The following is a 16,843-nucleotide window of genomic DNA, read 5'->3' as shown; positions in this document are numbered from 1 at the left end:
AAATTTTAATGTCTATCTTAAAAGCAATCCTCTTCCAGTTGTATTTTTATCAGTAGATCTCTATATTTCCCCCCTCTCTTGTTTTGGACACTATTATGTTCTAGATTTAATTTTTTTTTTAAAGAGTATATATATTGTAGACTCATAAATGATGTTATAGTCATCTAAGACCTATCACAACCTGACACTAAAATTTGGCTCTCTCATCCTGAGTTTTGAAGAAAAATGCAAATCTTTATATTTTATCACTATTAAGATGTATCTTGTTACACTTGGTTCACATGATTATCTTTCAAACTAATTTTGAATACTACTTCTGATATTTAGTTTATTCCCTAATGATTCATGTGATCAGAGAATGTACTCAGCATGTTATCAGTAACAGCATGTGTCAACTGATAAGAAATTTCAATAGGAAAAGTTTGAGGAAAGGGCAGAGAATGGCTAGGGATTTCATTCCCCCATTGACATAAATCCCTTCTATGGTTTGAATGTTTGTGTCCCTTCCAAAATTCATGTTGAAACATAATCCTTAATGCAACACTATTAAGAAGTACGGCTTTTAGGAGGTGACTGAGTCATGAATGAGGTTAGGTGTCATTATAAAAGACCTTCGTGTGGGGAGTTTGTCTTCTTTTGCTGTTCCATCCTCTCTGCCATGTCAGGACAAATTAGCCATGTTCCTCCCCTCTGGACACAGTGTTCCTCCCCTCTGGAAGATGCAGTATTCAAGGTGCCATCTAGGAACTGACAATTGGCCCCTCCCTAGACCCCAAACCTGCCAGCACCTTGATCTTGGACTTCCCAGCCCCGAGAGCCATGAGAAAGAAGCTGCTATTGTTCACAAGTTACCCAGTCTATGGTATTTTATTATAGCAGCACAAGTGGACTAAGACAATCCCCAAACCAACACTTTCAGGGTGAAACATGTGAAACAATCCTCCTAAACATCCCCCAGATTCTTCTATCTTCCCCACATAGATATTACAAGAGTTGTTCTTTTTGTTTTGTTTTGCTGATGCTATTTTGAGGAGCAGGAGATAGAAACATATTCATAAAGAAACCAGGCTAGTCCTTATTTATTGTTCAAAATAATCTATGCTGGTAGAAAGATACTAATGAAAAAAGAAGTTACAAACAGTGTATACAGTATGATCTTTTTGTGATAAGGATATTTATTTACAGATCTGAGAACAGATACATACACAGTTAAGATACAGATGTAGATATGGATTGAATACAGCCTGGATGTAATTCTAGAAGAAAATATAAAAAATATTTATGTGGATCTCTCTGAATGATGAGATTATCTTTTTGCTAATATTTCTACAAATAATATAATTACAACATAATTTTAAAAAATCATATGCTGGTGATAACTACTTTTCATTCTAATGTCTCTTAGAAGAAGCAAAATTTCTACTGAAGTTGGCGTCATGTCACTTAGCTACAGTTCATGAAATCTGTTTTATTTCCATTAAAAAGGGAATCAAAGTATTTGCCTATTTTCCACAGTTCCTGAAATATGAGCAATAGCTATGGGTGTGTTCCCCTCACTTTTCCACTGTATTTTCCCTGAATATGCTAGGAGCCTTCATGTACTGGGGCCATTAGATACATTTCTTTTTCCTGGGATTACCTTGACTTTTTTTTTTAATCTGGTAGACTCTTACTCATATTTCAATTCCCTGTTCAATTGTCACCTTTACCTCTTAGTTAGTTTTGCCTCCCTTTGTGTTCCTTCTGTACTTTGAACACAGCTCTGTGTCTTTGTTTATCAGTATCTACTCCTAAAGGTTGAGCTCCTAAGTTTGCAGGCTTTGTTGAGTGTAGGCATTCCCTGAAGAACTTGTTGAAAATGAAAATTCCTGGGTCTCATCCCTGGAGATTCTGGTTCTGCAGGTCAGAGGTAGGGTCCAGGAATATGCATTTATTTAAAAACTCCTACGTGATTCTGATGCTTGTGGTCTACGGCTCACAATGGCCTACAGGGAGGAGACAGTTTTGTCTTTTGTACCTTTTGACTATTCCCTCATATTTGGACTGCATCAGAGTGTCCCTTCATCAACTATACTGGTCATTATAATTTAATTTCCTTTGTCTTACACATGAAGAAGTTGAAGTGTTGGTACAAATTGCACAGTGACCAGGTGTTCTACCCATGCTGTGGACAAAGCCAATGGAGGCAGATACATGTTCTATCAGGAGAGATGTGGGCCAGGCTTATTAAAGTATACATGGAGGAGAAGGCAGTTCTGATTTGACCCTTTGGATCCTCCTCTTCTAGGTAGAATCCAAGCTTTACTTACATTTATAAGCAGTTCTACTTTTGAAGAGAGAGAAAAGGGGAAAAAGTTAATAAGATGACAGTTGGTATGTTTTCCAGTTTGGGAAATCTTCAAAGCAATGTTGCTAATCTTCACTTAATTATGTCTTGCACTTTTGCACACTGATTATAGACCTGCTAGAAGGCCAAGCAAAAAGCCACTGTTAACTCTAAATGTTCTGCTTACATTTCCTCTCCCATAACCAGGAACCTACTTTCACCTCCTCAAATGGATACATAAAAGAGACAACCATTTTAACTTTTTAGAAATGGATCTTCTACAGTAAATCAGAGAGAGATGATGAAAATGTTAATTAACTTGCTTTCATCTTGGTCAGATTCTGTATTTAACCTAAAGGCCTAAAGTCTTTTGGGCAGTTTTCTTAAATTTGATTGCCTGCGACAGCCAAAGAAATTCAGTCGTGATTTGGTAGGACTGCCTCTTTGAGAGTTATACTCCTCCTGCCTCTGGCACAGAAAACAAATGCCAAAACAGGAAGGGGAGAGTCACTCATGAATTATTCTGACACGTCTCCTTTCTGATTCAAGCTTTATAAGAAACCAAGCTTTCCCTTTCAGACCTGGGACCAACTGTTGGCTCCCCCCATGGGACCACCTCTAACATACAAGGAGACAGATGATTTAAAACATACACATAGACATACCACAAACTCGTCTTCTTCTGAGAGATCATGTGCACATAAAACCAGTCTACATGACAAAGCATCATTCTCAAGCCACAGGAAGTTCAGATGTTTAGAGACAGAAGGTAAAAGTGCCTAAGTTTTCTTTTCTCTTTATTTATTACACAATTAGCCATTTAAACTCCATTTCAGCTATGGAAATTATTTTTAAAGACTCCATAGTTTGAAAACAACCTACCTTGAGATTTAAACATTTAATGAACTGAAAAGCTTAACATAAACCATTTCTTTCCTTCAGTAAAGGAATAGCTCTATGGCAGGATGACAGAAGGAAGATGACAGATGTACTTTAAAAAGATATGCACGAGAAAAAGATAGATTTTTATTTATGTATTTCAAAAATATATAACTGTAATAATGCTGAGGATGAGTTCAGAAGTGGTAGCAGAGCTAGGTGAGAGATCTATGCTTTTTAATATCAACTTCCTCTGGAGTAAGAATTTTATCGCATTCATAGCTAAATCATACTGATTATAAAACAGCTGAAATGAGGCAATTAGTATGGCCTATGACAGTCATGAAGAATGAAACATGTGAGGTTTTCAATGCAAGCCAGATGGATAGCTTCAATATATTTCTTATTATCTTCTTGTGGTAATAAGTTCAATTAAACTGAATCAGTATAACATAAGTCTCTTTGAATTGCTGGAAAAGAAATTAATTATGTGCTTCACATATAATGAAGCCAAAGAGTCATATTCTGTTTGCCTTTTTTGTTTGTTTGTTTTGTTTATTCTGATTAGTAAATATTCATTACAAAAGAATTCATTAATTCATTTTATAGGAGAGTTTTTTCCTTACAAGAAAGAAATTATTTGTATGGGATGGGTTAAATATCACCAGGTAAAAGGTGTCTCTTCTACAATATCTGAGAGAGAACTGAAAAAACAGACCTCCTGTCTGGATGGCTTTGCCTGCAATATCTGACCATGTAGGATTCTGACCTGAGGTATTCTTTTTAATTTGAAATATTTTACATATAAAACTACAACAAAAATTTACCAATATGTGCTCATATTCCCTCTTCCAGAATTAGAAGGCTTTAACACATTTTCATGTACCTCCAGCCTTTTTCCCCCCATGAATATATATTAAAAATTTACCCAAACAGATATTACCAATACAGCTAAAGTCCTTTCACATAATCTCACTCCAGGCATCCTCCCTCCAAATACTGAGTTAGGGCTTATGCCGCATGTGTATTCTGTATGCAAACATTATAAGGTATTATTTTATATTACTAATTTTATATTTAATCATACAATATATTAAATAAAATGATACCATATGTATTATTCTTTAATTTCCTTGTATTTTCTTTTCATTACAAACAACAACACAAGGAACACCTTTGCAAGTCTGCCTCAGAACACGTGTGAATCCCACTAGGTTAAATGCCCAGAAAATGGAATTGCTGGGCCATGGAGATTGCACTTTCTCAATTTTACTTGCTCTCCACAGTATCTATTGCAATTTCTATCCCTACTGAGAGTGTGTGAGTACCATTTTCCTCACATAGTCACCAACAAAAGGTACTGTTAGATGTTTCTCTTTTGCCAGTCTCATATGTAAAAAAATCACACCACACAGATGCTTACATTGCCTTTCCCTGATTATTAATGAGGTGATGTTACCACACAAGCTTCTTGACCCACAGAGTGTCTTTTATGCCAAAAGCAAAAATACGAGGCCTGTCTTCAGCATAGAGGCTTTGCTACGAAAGACAGAGTTGGCATAGAGAAATGTAACAGTTAAGGAATTACATCTTCCCTCTAGACCAAGGATGGAGAAGTGATGGGCAGGCTGGAGTCAGGGCAGACTGTCATGGTATGCAATCAGCATTACAAAAGGAGAGAAGGTTTTTACAGAGAGATTTGGACAAAAGGGGAATCATTCTACTCATGATTGATATCGCCAAAGGCATGTTATTTGCTCAATCTACGTGGCTCTCACACATGTCCATAAGAATGTCAGAGGAAATAATCACACCCTGTTTCATCAGATTTCCAGGTTATGTCACACGCTTTGTGAACACAGGAAGAACAAGATGCACAATTACCTACCCTTCTTTTAAGATTCTCCTACCATAGCTGGTACCAACTCCAGGGTGACAGATCTCAGATCTAACAGGATCTAGTATTGAAATGTTCTGGCCAGATGTTCTTCTACTGAGGGACCTACCATAATTAGCATTTAGCACTTCTAATGACAAACTTTTCCTTCCTACTCTAGATGCCTAGGGTCACAATTTGTGTTAATCCTATTAGAAATACCCTTAATTATCACCCAGAAATAATTGGTTCCAGTGGAAGATATCTAATTGGGTTGAAATGTATTCAGTTATAAGGGACCAATGTTAAAAGCTTTTGTTGTGTGTTAGCAGCCAACCGTCATTGTATGTTACTGATTTCTGATTGATCCCCTGTCAAATCTGTATAAAGCCTTGAACAGTTTTACATAGAAGATTGGGCTGCTTCAAACTCATTTGCAAAATAAAGTTCCAACTGAAAAGACTCTACTTTATTGCGTCTATTATGCTATGCATGGAAAGGTTGATATTTCCCAATGTCCTACAGTTAAAACAGAAGAATTTTATATAGTGCGCAATAGTAATGCTGTAGATACTCTTTGGTGCTGGTACAAATATATATATACACACATATATATATATATATATATGAAAAAATCTGTTGATTTAAACATAAATAAACTTTCTATGGGGTGAACAATGAGCACTCTTTCTGGCAATAAAGGAATCCGTTAAATGCTCAGCTAAACCACAGGAACCTTTTCGGCTTGTAGGGTTGAAGAATGAAAATACAAAATAATTTCTTGTTACGTGTATCTGTGATCTTAGTCAATTTCCACTAAAGACTTCTTTTCTATTAAAGCTACTTAAAGTATAAATTTATTTTTTCTTATTATAAAAGTAATTCTATGCACTGAATTTAGACATTTAAATAAACAGAAAAGCCAAAAGAACTCTTTTAAAATCCAGACAGAATTAGGGTAAAACTTTATATAGTCAATTTCAAAATAAAAAAAAATTGCTATTAGAGGAAGAACATGCAGTCTGAGAATTATGAGGTAAAGGTGGAACAGTTCTGCTGATTTAGGCTGGTGACGGTGGGAGGTTTAGGAAGAGAGAAGTGTTTTAAAAAAACACCAGGTCATGTGCTTCTTACTTTAGGGTCTTCTTAGCTTACTATTCTGGTTCCAGCTGTGTGAATCCTCCCCACATGCTGGAGAATCAAATTGAATTATTGTTCCAGTGTCTGCCAAGTAATTTTCCTCCTCCCTCTCAATCAATGATTTATTATCTCTCCTCTGGATTTTCAACTCGTATCCAAGTTCTAAAGTCAACTGTTTGGATACTGGGGTGAGGCTAAGGTCCTGGGAAAGAAAACTCCCTACCACTTCCAGCTAATAATCAGACTCAAGGACATGTGGAAATTTCCAGCATGCAAGATCAGCAGGGGTACAAGAAAAGTTGTGTATAGCTTGGCCAGACTATACCTTGGACAGAATTTTGAAGATCTGAGGAAGAGAAAAAGTTATCAAAGAGAGGATAAGTATTTTTCTTTTCTGTGAAGGACTTACTAGTAAATATTTAAGGTTTTGCAGAAGTGGCAAAGTTGAGGATATTATATAGGTACTTATATATTACACAGTCTCGGGGGGCGCAGTGGCTCATGCCTGTAATCCCAACACTTTGGGAGGCCGAGGCGGGCAGATCATCTGAGGTCAGGAGTTCGAAACCAGCCTTGACCAACATGGTGAAACCCTGTCTCTACTAAAAAATACAAAAATTAGCTGGGCGTCGTGGCATCTGCTTGTAATCCCAGCTACTAGGGAGACTGAGGCAGGAGAATCGCTTGAGCCCGGGAGGCAAAGGTTGCAGTGAGCTGAGATCTCACCATTGCACTCTAGCCTGGGCAACAACAGGGAAACTCCATCTCAAAAAAAAAAAAAAATTACACAGTCTCTGTCATAATTACTCAACTTTGCTGTTGTAAGGCAAGAGCAACCTTAGTTAATATGTAAAAAAATGACATGGCTATGTGACAACAAAACTTTATTTATGGACACTAAAAGATGAATTTCATAAAAGTTTCATGCCCAAAAATATTATTGTTCTTTTGGTTTTTTTCTCAACCAGCTAACATGTGAAAACCATGCTTAGCCCCTGGGGTATATAAAACAGGTATGGATTTGGCCCACAGAGCATAGTGTGAAACCCCTGAAAATGCAATGTTCTAAACTCTGATGTGTATAAGGATCAATTGGGGTATTTATTTTAAATGTAGGTTTTTCCAGGCCTCCTCCCTAGGAGTTAGATTTGTTAGGGTAGGAGTGAGGCCCAGGAGATCTGCACTTCTAATATGCACTCTACTGAACTGTCACTTGCTAGGTGGCATGCATGTACGAAGTTCTTTGGTGTAGGACAGTGTTTCCCAAAGTATAGTCTGGAACCACCAGTTGCAAAATTGCTCAAGGTCAGTTTGGATGTAGTTCAGCACGATGACTATGTTAACAGCATCCACAGCATACTGCCCTACATTTTGAGTCCTGGAGATAATCAATAGGAGTGAGGGTTGCTATTAACATAGTTATCTTGTTGAACTACATCCAAACAAATACTCTAAATTGCTCTTCTCTAGGACTGCTACTTAAAAATATCTGTCATATGAAACCTGTATAGCAGAGGCACTGTGTCATGCAAAATCCCCACCCACCACCACCCCTTTAACTCTGCTGTAGAGATAAACATGATTTAGTAAGTACAATATTGCATATAAATGTACCCTGCCCTCTGTAGAGTTCTTAATGATGTCAATGATCACAAAAGCACATTTTTGTTTAAAGGTCTAACATTATGCTTTCTGTGAGTATTTGAGGGTTTGACTTAAGAACTGTTCTTGCTTAAAATGAAACAGCAAACCAAATCCCAAGTATATTATAACTAGCCTGAAAAACAAAACCAGTAAAATTTAGGAATTCAGATGATGGGATGATAATCAAGAGCCCCCTGGGCACCTGTCAGAATTCTGCAGTTTGGGAGCCTGCTCATGCAGAATCTGAATATTTATTCATGTGATGATTGCTTGTCAGAGGTTTATTCTAAACCTCCTGTATCTGGTGGAATAGATGTGCCACCTCCCTCTCCTCCCCTACCTGCTGACCCTGTGTTTGACACTATCTTCAGCCTCTCTCCGAAACATGGGGGCAAGGGTAGGGAGAAAGAGAATTGGATTTTGAAAGCATGGTTAATGATAGAACTATTGTAAAAAGGTTAGAAAAGATATGTTCTGACGCCCGACCTTCACGGTGTTTTAATCCCAGACACATGAGGAAATCGGAAAGAATACAAGCACATTTTAAGGTTACAGAACACCTTCTCTGATAAATTAGTCCCTTTGTAGATCTCAAAATTGAATTAAAATACAGCGCTCAGTCATATTTCGGGCTAAGCTGTTACACTTGCACTAAAGGTGCAGGGCTCAAGCATTTTGATGTGGGATTCAGGACTTGGCACAGTTCATGCGGAGTTCAGAATGGTTTTCTCTGCCTATATCGTGCTTTATGGGGCAGATTTTTAAATTATATTTCTCAGTTTATGTTAATGTCCTTCTTGGAGACCTCGCACTGTGGATGGCCCCTCTGCAGACACACGTACTTCCCATTAATGCTAATGGGAGTGAGAACCAACCACACTGGGAGATAAATGATCCCCCAAATCTCTTCTGACCTTATCTAAAGTAACAGGATTGTTAACTCCTGAGAACATATTGGCCAAATAAAACTTTTTTCCCCCACCTCACCTAGAAGAAGAATATAAGAATCAGAGGACCTCTGTGGAGAAACTAACTGCAGCTCAGAACCAGGAGCCACTGCCAGAAATAACTCTGCTTGGAAACACATGAATTCTACCTGTCAATCAGGCTACCTGGGCACATCATCCCTTAACCTCATGGCTCATACCTACACATCCCTGCCTTCCTCTTTTTGTACTGGGCCAGGCTCTTCCTACCTCAGTCCCTCCTCGTTCTCTCACCTATTAGGAAATTTCAGTTTTTAAAGTGTTGTGCATGTTTCAGCGAATCATGTGGCTAGCATAGGCAGGACATACTAATTCTGCATCTATAAGTCCACTAAAACTCTCCTGGAAATTGTCCTCAAGTCATGTTTCCTAGTTTTAGACATTCACATATACCATCTTCATGATTTTTTGCATATCCTCCTATAACAATGCATATTTAGTACTTTTCTTTGTACCGACTCACTTCTTTACGTAAATTTATTTTGAAATATTGTTGTTATTATTGCCGTTAGTGGAAAACTAGTGTTCTCCTAATATACCTTGAAAGAAACAAATAGTTAATAAAATTTTAAAAAATTGTAACTGTAAACTGCCTAAAACTATATCCTATACTTACTTGGGTGAATACTTGTTCACATTTTACTAGAAGGCAAGAAATAAATTATTTTGTTTGTTAGAATAGGTAGAAATTACTATCTTAGCAATATTTATAACCACACAAAAATGAGGCAACTATAACGTATTTAATCCCTGATATATTTGTAGGCTTTGCATCGTGATTCAGTGTAAGATGAGCAGCAGGGATCTGCACAGTTGGTTGGGAACGGTTTTGTCCTGGGGCTTGTGGTATCACTGGGATGCAAACTCTGATGGGAAATAGAGGCCTCTCCTTTCTGCCAACTCTTGGGAGAGCCAAGGAAGCCAATACTTATAAGAAGGATGATAATAAAATACAGAACATACCTTGTTCCTACCTGTGAAAATACCCTACTTTTAACAATATGAGACACCATATATATGGTTTCTATGCTTAGCTGTTTTGAATCTTTCATATTCTTAGTCATTTCTTTATTATAGGCTCACTTCTCTATGCTAATTATTCTATTGGGGTGGAAATATCATAAATGTTCATTTCAACAGGATTTAGAATACACGCATATCCATTTGAAAATATATAAACAACAAAACAAATACTAATATTTCTTAGGTGCCAGACACCCTGTTAATCGCTTAGCATGGATTACCACAGTCATCAGAACAACCTCATTTTATGAAAACATGTTTATAAACAAAACAACTATTAATATTTCCTAGGTGCCAGGCACCACACTAATCACTTAACATGGATTTTCACAGTTATCAAAGCGACTCCATGAGACTGGCACTGCTATTATCCCCACACAGGCTAAGTGTCTTGTCTAAGAGCTGGTAAGTGGTAGAAATGAGACTCAAATCCAGATCACTCTGACTTGAATCCCTGTCTTTTAACTATGATTTAAGATGTCAACCTAATATTCTCTTATATCTCCATAATTCACAAATAATCTATAACAGATCCCAGCTCTGTGTCTAACCAGCTCTGAAACATTGAGATCTCTCTTGGTCCTAAATGATTACTAAACTTCCTTTAGCCAAGACAGTCATACATTAGCAAAAACCTCTAGCTAGAACTGCACTTTACAAATATTATCTAACCTCTTTTTCCTTTGCCTATGAAACAGAGTGAACAAGCAGTCAGTCATACACTGATGCTAGTGCTCTGAGGAAGTAATTAATAGACTGAAATAGTTGTAATCAATCTAAACATATATTTAGTTCTAACTCTTGGACTTCCAATTTTCTATCTGCATGGTCAAGTATGTTAATGATAAAAAGACTTCCCAAAAGAGTAGTACATTTCCAACTTCTAATGACCCTAAAATATTTAATTAGGTAATTTTTAGCTTTCTTCTTTAAATTAAAGGCAAATTGTTTTTTTTGATATTTTTATTTGCCTTCATCTGTCTTCACCAAGGGAACTACAAATGGGCAAGAAGGAAATAATATGATATGACCCATCTGTATAAATTACTCAGAAACAGGAAAGGCTTCCTGTTTCCTGGTGCAGCATAAAGGACCAAGAAGAACTCAGAATCAGGATCTGGGTTCAGGTCTCCTGCTACTCGTGACCTTGAGAGAACCACCAACCTGAGCCTCATCTTCTTCAGTCAAATCATTGTCAAGATCCCTTCAACTCAAAAATCCTATGACAGGGCAATATATAAAGTGAAAGAAATGCAAATGAAATGTAAATTAAGATTTTCTCCTTTTCAATGGTTACTTAGCACTTCCAGCCCATGCCATGAAGCTAATATTGAAATAGTTTCACTCACGTGCTTTGCTAAGAGCATAAAGGACTTTCTGCTACAAAAATTATAAAGCACCCAGGCTATGGTATATGGGAATTTTATTTCCTTAAAACTGACAAGGTTGGCTGGGTGACTAAGGCAAAGCATAGAGGTGATCAAAGCCTTCTATTAGTATAATAAGCCATATCCATATCTCTGAATAAATGGGACAGCTATCTTAAAAATTACCAATGTCATTGTTTAAACAATGTTTTCTAAAAATAGTACATGAGTCTTGAGTTTTTAATTTGTTGGAATAGTGTTCCTAGACATGAATTTCAAATCTATAGAGACTTGAAAGAAATTTAATTAAAGGATTGAAGATAACATTCGTTACAATACTATAAGAGATACAATGGCTATAATTCTCAAAATTGTATTGGATGATTCTGAAATAAGATAGCCTTTCAATCATATTCATTACCAGCAGTTTTCTAAGAATTATTAATCATATCATGTTTGCCGTGATGAATTAATTTAGCAATACAGTGGTATCTGTACATATTAATATGAATGATGCCACTTCGGTAGATTACATTATTAGACACGAGGACACATATATAAATATTCGAATTCTTTGGGTTAGCCATTACCTTTCACTACCAAGTTTCCAGTACTGCTAGCAGTTCCAAAATGGTTAGTGGCTATACAGGTATAACTCCCAGCGTCTGATTTAGTAACGTTGATGATTCTGAGGTTTCCATCTTCAGAAATGGTAATTCTGAAATCAAAGTAAATGAACCAAAAATGGTGAAATTTATCTCATATGACCTATTGCAAATTAGTTCTGTCATTCTGTCATTGTTCAAACCATAAATCATTGCTACATTATTTGTAGTAAAGATGACAGCCTCATCTTTATTTAGGGTATTTGTCCACATATACATAAACATAATTGAGACATGTGACTTGTTTAGTGTTTTTAATTCTTTTCTTGCTAAAATGGTCTCAACAGTCAGTTGGAATAGCCATTATAAATATTAGACAGGTTGTAACGATTTCTCTTTGGTAGCTCTAACCACATTAGGCAAAGGGAAGGCTTACGGTAGATCACCATTAGTCTTATAACTGCTAATAAGGAATACGAAAAAATCCCTTGATTAATCAATTTAAGTCTTTTCATTGAAAGTGTTTTTTTCTAAATGAGAGCCTTAAATTAAATGAGGTATTATTAAGCATATTTATTTCTGAAATATGTCAGCCAACACATTTTTAATGAGATGTAAAAACTGAACTTAAAAAAAATTAAAATATTCCACGACTCAGCGTGACTTTGGCAGAAGAGCAAATGTGGATGGCAAACCTCAGGCCCCACAATTAGAGACAAACATCTACTTTCTGCAGGGAAGAAAATGTTTTTGTTGACAGATGCAAAATCTGGAAGAGGAAGAATTTTGAAGAACTCTGTTTTCATCATGACTACCAGAAGAGAAGTAGGAAAATACAAAGATGAATAAGACACACAGCTTGGCTTAGAGGCTTGTCAGAGAAGTAAAAAATGTACACAGATAGCTCACTCAAGGTAAATGTCTGTTAAATTTCTCTTTTATTTCAGATCTGCTCACATCTTTCCATCCCTTTCACGCCCTCCTTCTCACCTAGTCTATCAAAACAGCCTCCTAATTGGCCTGCCTATTTCTACCCTTGTCCCTCAAATCCATTCTTCAGTCAGTGGCCAGATGATCTTTTAAAATTTAAATCCGATTATATCACTCTCCTGGCTTAAAGCTATATCCTTGGCTCTGCCATTGCATTCTGAAAAAATTTCTTGCTGGAGCCTTATTATGAAGCCTAATGGATCTAGCTTTTTAAAAAGCCTCTCTTGCTTACTGTTTTGTTCTAATCTTTCTACCCTTCGATGAACTCTAGTCACACTGGCCTTCTGCATATTCCAGAGTATTTGAAATCCTTCCCACTTCAGGGCCTTTGCACTTGCTCTTCTGCTTGCTTTGAACACATTTCCCTGTATCTGGACATAGCTGTCACCTTCTCACCTTCAGGATCTCAGTGTAGAGGTAGCTTTTCCTGATAGATCTCTCCCAACTCACTGTTTACGGTGGTTCTCCCTGTCTCCCTGTTTTCCTGCAGCCACTTTATTTCTTCCCACTAAATTCAATCAGGAAATTTTATTTGTTTGCTTCTTAGTTGTCTTATCACATGGAATGGTAGCATCTCTGAGGGAAGGGATGGTGTCTGTCTTACGACTGAACCTCCTGGGTCTAGTACACAGGATGGCGTGTAGTGGATACTAGAAATATTTCTTAAGTGGCCGAGTAAATACATGAATAAATAAATAACCTAAGGGAAAAATCGGTAATACGTTGTAGGAATTCAGAGTGGTTGAACCACTTGGCACTAGTGCTATACTTAACAGAGTCCTTTCAAATATCTGAAACAGGGGTCTAGGATGGGCAGAGCCTCACTTCATAGAACTTTTGAGCAAGCATTATAAAAACACAGGTGAAGATGTAAATGCGCTGGGTTGCAAATGCTGCATATACTTTTTTGAAGGCTCTTACAGATGGAGAAGCTACAGTCTTCCTGAAGACCCGGTCCAGATCTATGACTCAGTCTGATGAGAGGGTATGAAGGTGGAAGAATTCTACAAAGAATTTTGGAATCAGAGGGATGGGAGTTCACATTCCAGAGCTGTGGGTTCTAGCTGTACCACTAAAGACAACTTACTTAACTTTCTCAGTTTTTACTTCCTCTTCTATGAAACAGAACTAACAATGTCCATCTTATAGATTGATAGCAAGAATTAGGTAAGATAGGGTCAGTAAGGTTCCTAGAGGTTTCCTGATATTTACTAGGCAGTGGTTCTCTTTCATCTTTAAAATTGTGTTTGCGAGGCTGGGTGTGGCGGCTCATGCCTGTAATTCTAGCACTTTAGGGGGCTGAGGCAGGAGGATCACTTGAGCTCAGGAGTTTGAGACCAGTCTGGGCAACATGGCAAAACCCTGTCTCTACAAAAAACACAAAAATTAGCCAGGTGTGCTGGCTTGAGCCTATAGTCCCAGCTACTTGGGGGGCTGAGGTGGGAGGATGGCTTGAATCTAGGAGGTGGAGGTTGCAGTGAGCCGAGATGGCACCACTACACTCCAGCCTAGGAGACAGAGCGAGACCCTGTCTCGAAAAAAAAAAAAAAAAAAAGTATTCTCTTATTTGGTCATTTGTATATATAGGAAAAATTGGACAACATCATTTTAATATATTTTCTTTTAATATAGTAATTACATCAGCCTTCTGCCTTCTGTTTGTATTTTGACTGTTACTTCTGACAATTTGAAATCAATATGCAAATTAACTGAGTCATCCCGAATCAAGGTACAAGAGGCAGACAAGGCACAAGGGCACCTGTGGTTGGGCAGTTTGTACCTGCTGGCGGTGCCTATGTTGCTTTCTGGTAGAGGCCTGGCGTTGGAGGTCTTGGCCTTTGGGCTGGGGTGACCCATGCTTCTGGTGGAGGCAAGGGAGCCGAGCTGGAGCCATGGCCAGTGAGGTGGTAACTGCTAGGCCTAACCATTGCTGTTGTTGAAGGATTTGCGGGTCATTATATTTTGCAAACCAGGAAGCATATGGAGCCTCAGGGAAAACAAGTTTTTCAAAGTCTACTGAAATCTGCCCCCAGTGATGGCTATTACAGAGGTGTCTGAACCCAAAGTGACAAAATGAGAAGCAGAGGTGCAAGTCCTCCTGCCAATAAAGAAAGAATAAGAGATGCTCATAAACAAATTACTCTGTTAAATCACATCACTCAGATAAAGGAGAATGTTCTTACATAGCAGCCTAAATCTATGAAGCTAAACATTTACTAGAAGATCAAGGTAAAAAAATAAGTAAATGTATGATGAATTTTCAGTTCTTATTAGTTTACACAGATGATTACCAACTTCTCATAATAAAACATCTCAAATCTACAATTAAAAAAATAATTTAGCGTAAGCTAAATCCAAGCTCTGGCTAAAAAAAAGACACAGACAAGAAGGCCTTTTGTTCATTCACATCACAGCTACGCATATAACAGTTGCTCAGTAAAGACCATCTGATACCTCATTTGCCAAGGAGCAGATGCACTGACAAAAACAGAGTGGTGAACAAATCTTAATTACCTCAATAATAACAAAAATAGCTTTAAAGGAGTTAGTCACATTCCATTTATAAAATAATTTGCTAGAAATTGTGAAACACTGGCATATGAGAATTCAATATGTAAGGTGACATTTGTGTTTTATGTACAGACTTATCTTTCATGAGGTAACACTGGCTTGGAGCATATTAAACATTCTGAGGGGTGAGATGACTCTTTAAAAGCAAAAACACCTATTAATAACTTATACCATTAAAAACAGTATCACGATCATTCCAAAAACCTAAAGCCATCGCCTGTATCAAACTCTGACATGCTGAAGGAAATGAATACGGAAACAAGCAAAGGACTTGTCATCAGATTACTTGGATTCTAGCCTTGACTCTGAAACTTGTCAAGTATATGGCATAGCCAAGTTACTTATGCAAGCTCTGAGACAGAGTTTCCCAACCTTGGCACTGACGACATTTTGGACTGAACAATTCTTTGTCCTGGGGGGGATAATGGGCACCATCCCTGGCCTATACCCACTGGACTCCCATAGCTCTAACCCTTCCCCACGTCATGACAATCAAAAATGTCTCCAGAGATTGTCAAAGATACCCTGGGGGTCAAAATCACCCCATTTGAGAACTGCTGGTCTAATTCAGTTTTTAAAATCCCTTCTTCTATAATGAGATAAGATAGGTGAAAATTTCGTTAACTTAAAGTGCTTCACACTCTTCAAATGTTTTCCCCACCATCATTTCCATCCTGCTTCCTGCTTTTGGTATCTGCATTGCATAAAAGCCAGCTAGCTTTTCACAGTCGTAGTAGAAGGCTCTCTTTGCCCCTTGTCCTCAGAGTTTCCCTATCCAATTTCCTATGGGCCTTGTGAAATTACAAAATAATTTTTATAAACTATTATACTATTCATTTTAAATATTTCAGTGCCTGATATTGGTTTAGGGTCTCAACTCTCCCACTGTTATTTGCAAAGAGGTAAGTAAGAGAGGTAAGACCCTAACTGTTAGAATTCCAGATGAGAGAAAGACAGTGAGGGAGATCATTTGTAGAAGGGGTAATTTTCAGTAGTCTTCATTAAATCACAACATATTGCTGTGACCGCTTATTCTTACTATTATCCAAATGTGGGGGTAATATGAAGTTTGATAAACTATTCTTTGGAGAAACTCAACCACTTTTTTATACAGCAATATAGTGTAGTAACTAAGAACATAAACTCTGGAACTAAACTGTCTAGGCTCAAATCATGCTTCTACTACTTAGAAGTTGTGTGACTTTGGGAAAGTTAATCTCTCTGTAACTCAGCTTCCTTGTTTGTAAAAATGGGATAATAAAAGTAACTATATACATCTCATAGAGTTGTTGTTAAGATGTGCGGTGCTTAGAACGATGCCTGACATGTAAAATACACCAGGCGGGACAGGTGCTTGGGCATATGTCAGTGAGACACTCATGAATAGACCAGAGTTAGCCACATGTTCTATTAAGTGAAGCTCTGTGCCTTCCTGG

The 16,843-nt window shown here is 37.5% G+C and overlaps 1 protein-coding gene and 1 pseudogene across 40 annotated transcripts in view; one reads left to right on the top strand and one right to left on the bottom strand.

The window, feature by feature from the left end:
• The window catches only part of CNTN4 (contactin 4), a 959,094-nt gene that overhangs the window by 57,656 nt on the left and 884,595 nt on the right, over window positions 1–16,843 (bottom strand). For all 40 annotated transcript variants that reach the window (XM_017005783.2, NM_001350095.2, XM_047447536.1 and 37 more), the window contains one exon: window positions 11,832–11,959. In XM_017005783.2, the coding sequence (XP_016861272.1) occupies window positions 11,832–11,959 (128 nt within the window). The remainder of the gene's footprint in view (window positions 1–11,831; window positions 11,960–16,843) is intronic.
• Window positions 14,729–15,073, top strand: DNAJC19P4 (DnaJ heat shock protein family (Hsp40) member C19 pseudogene 4; annotated as a pseudogene).

This window comes from Homo sapiens, chromosome 3, assembly GCF_000001405.40.
Source record: "Homo sapiens chromosome 3, GRCh38.p14 Primary Assembly".
Taxonomy (NCBI): domain Eukaryota; kingdom Metazoa; phylum Chordata; class Mammalia; order Primates; family Hominidae; genus Homo; species Homo sapiens.
This window is presented reverse-complemented; position numbering and strand designations above follow the sequence as displayed.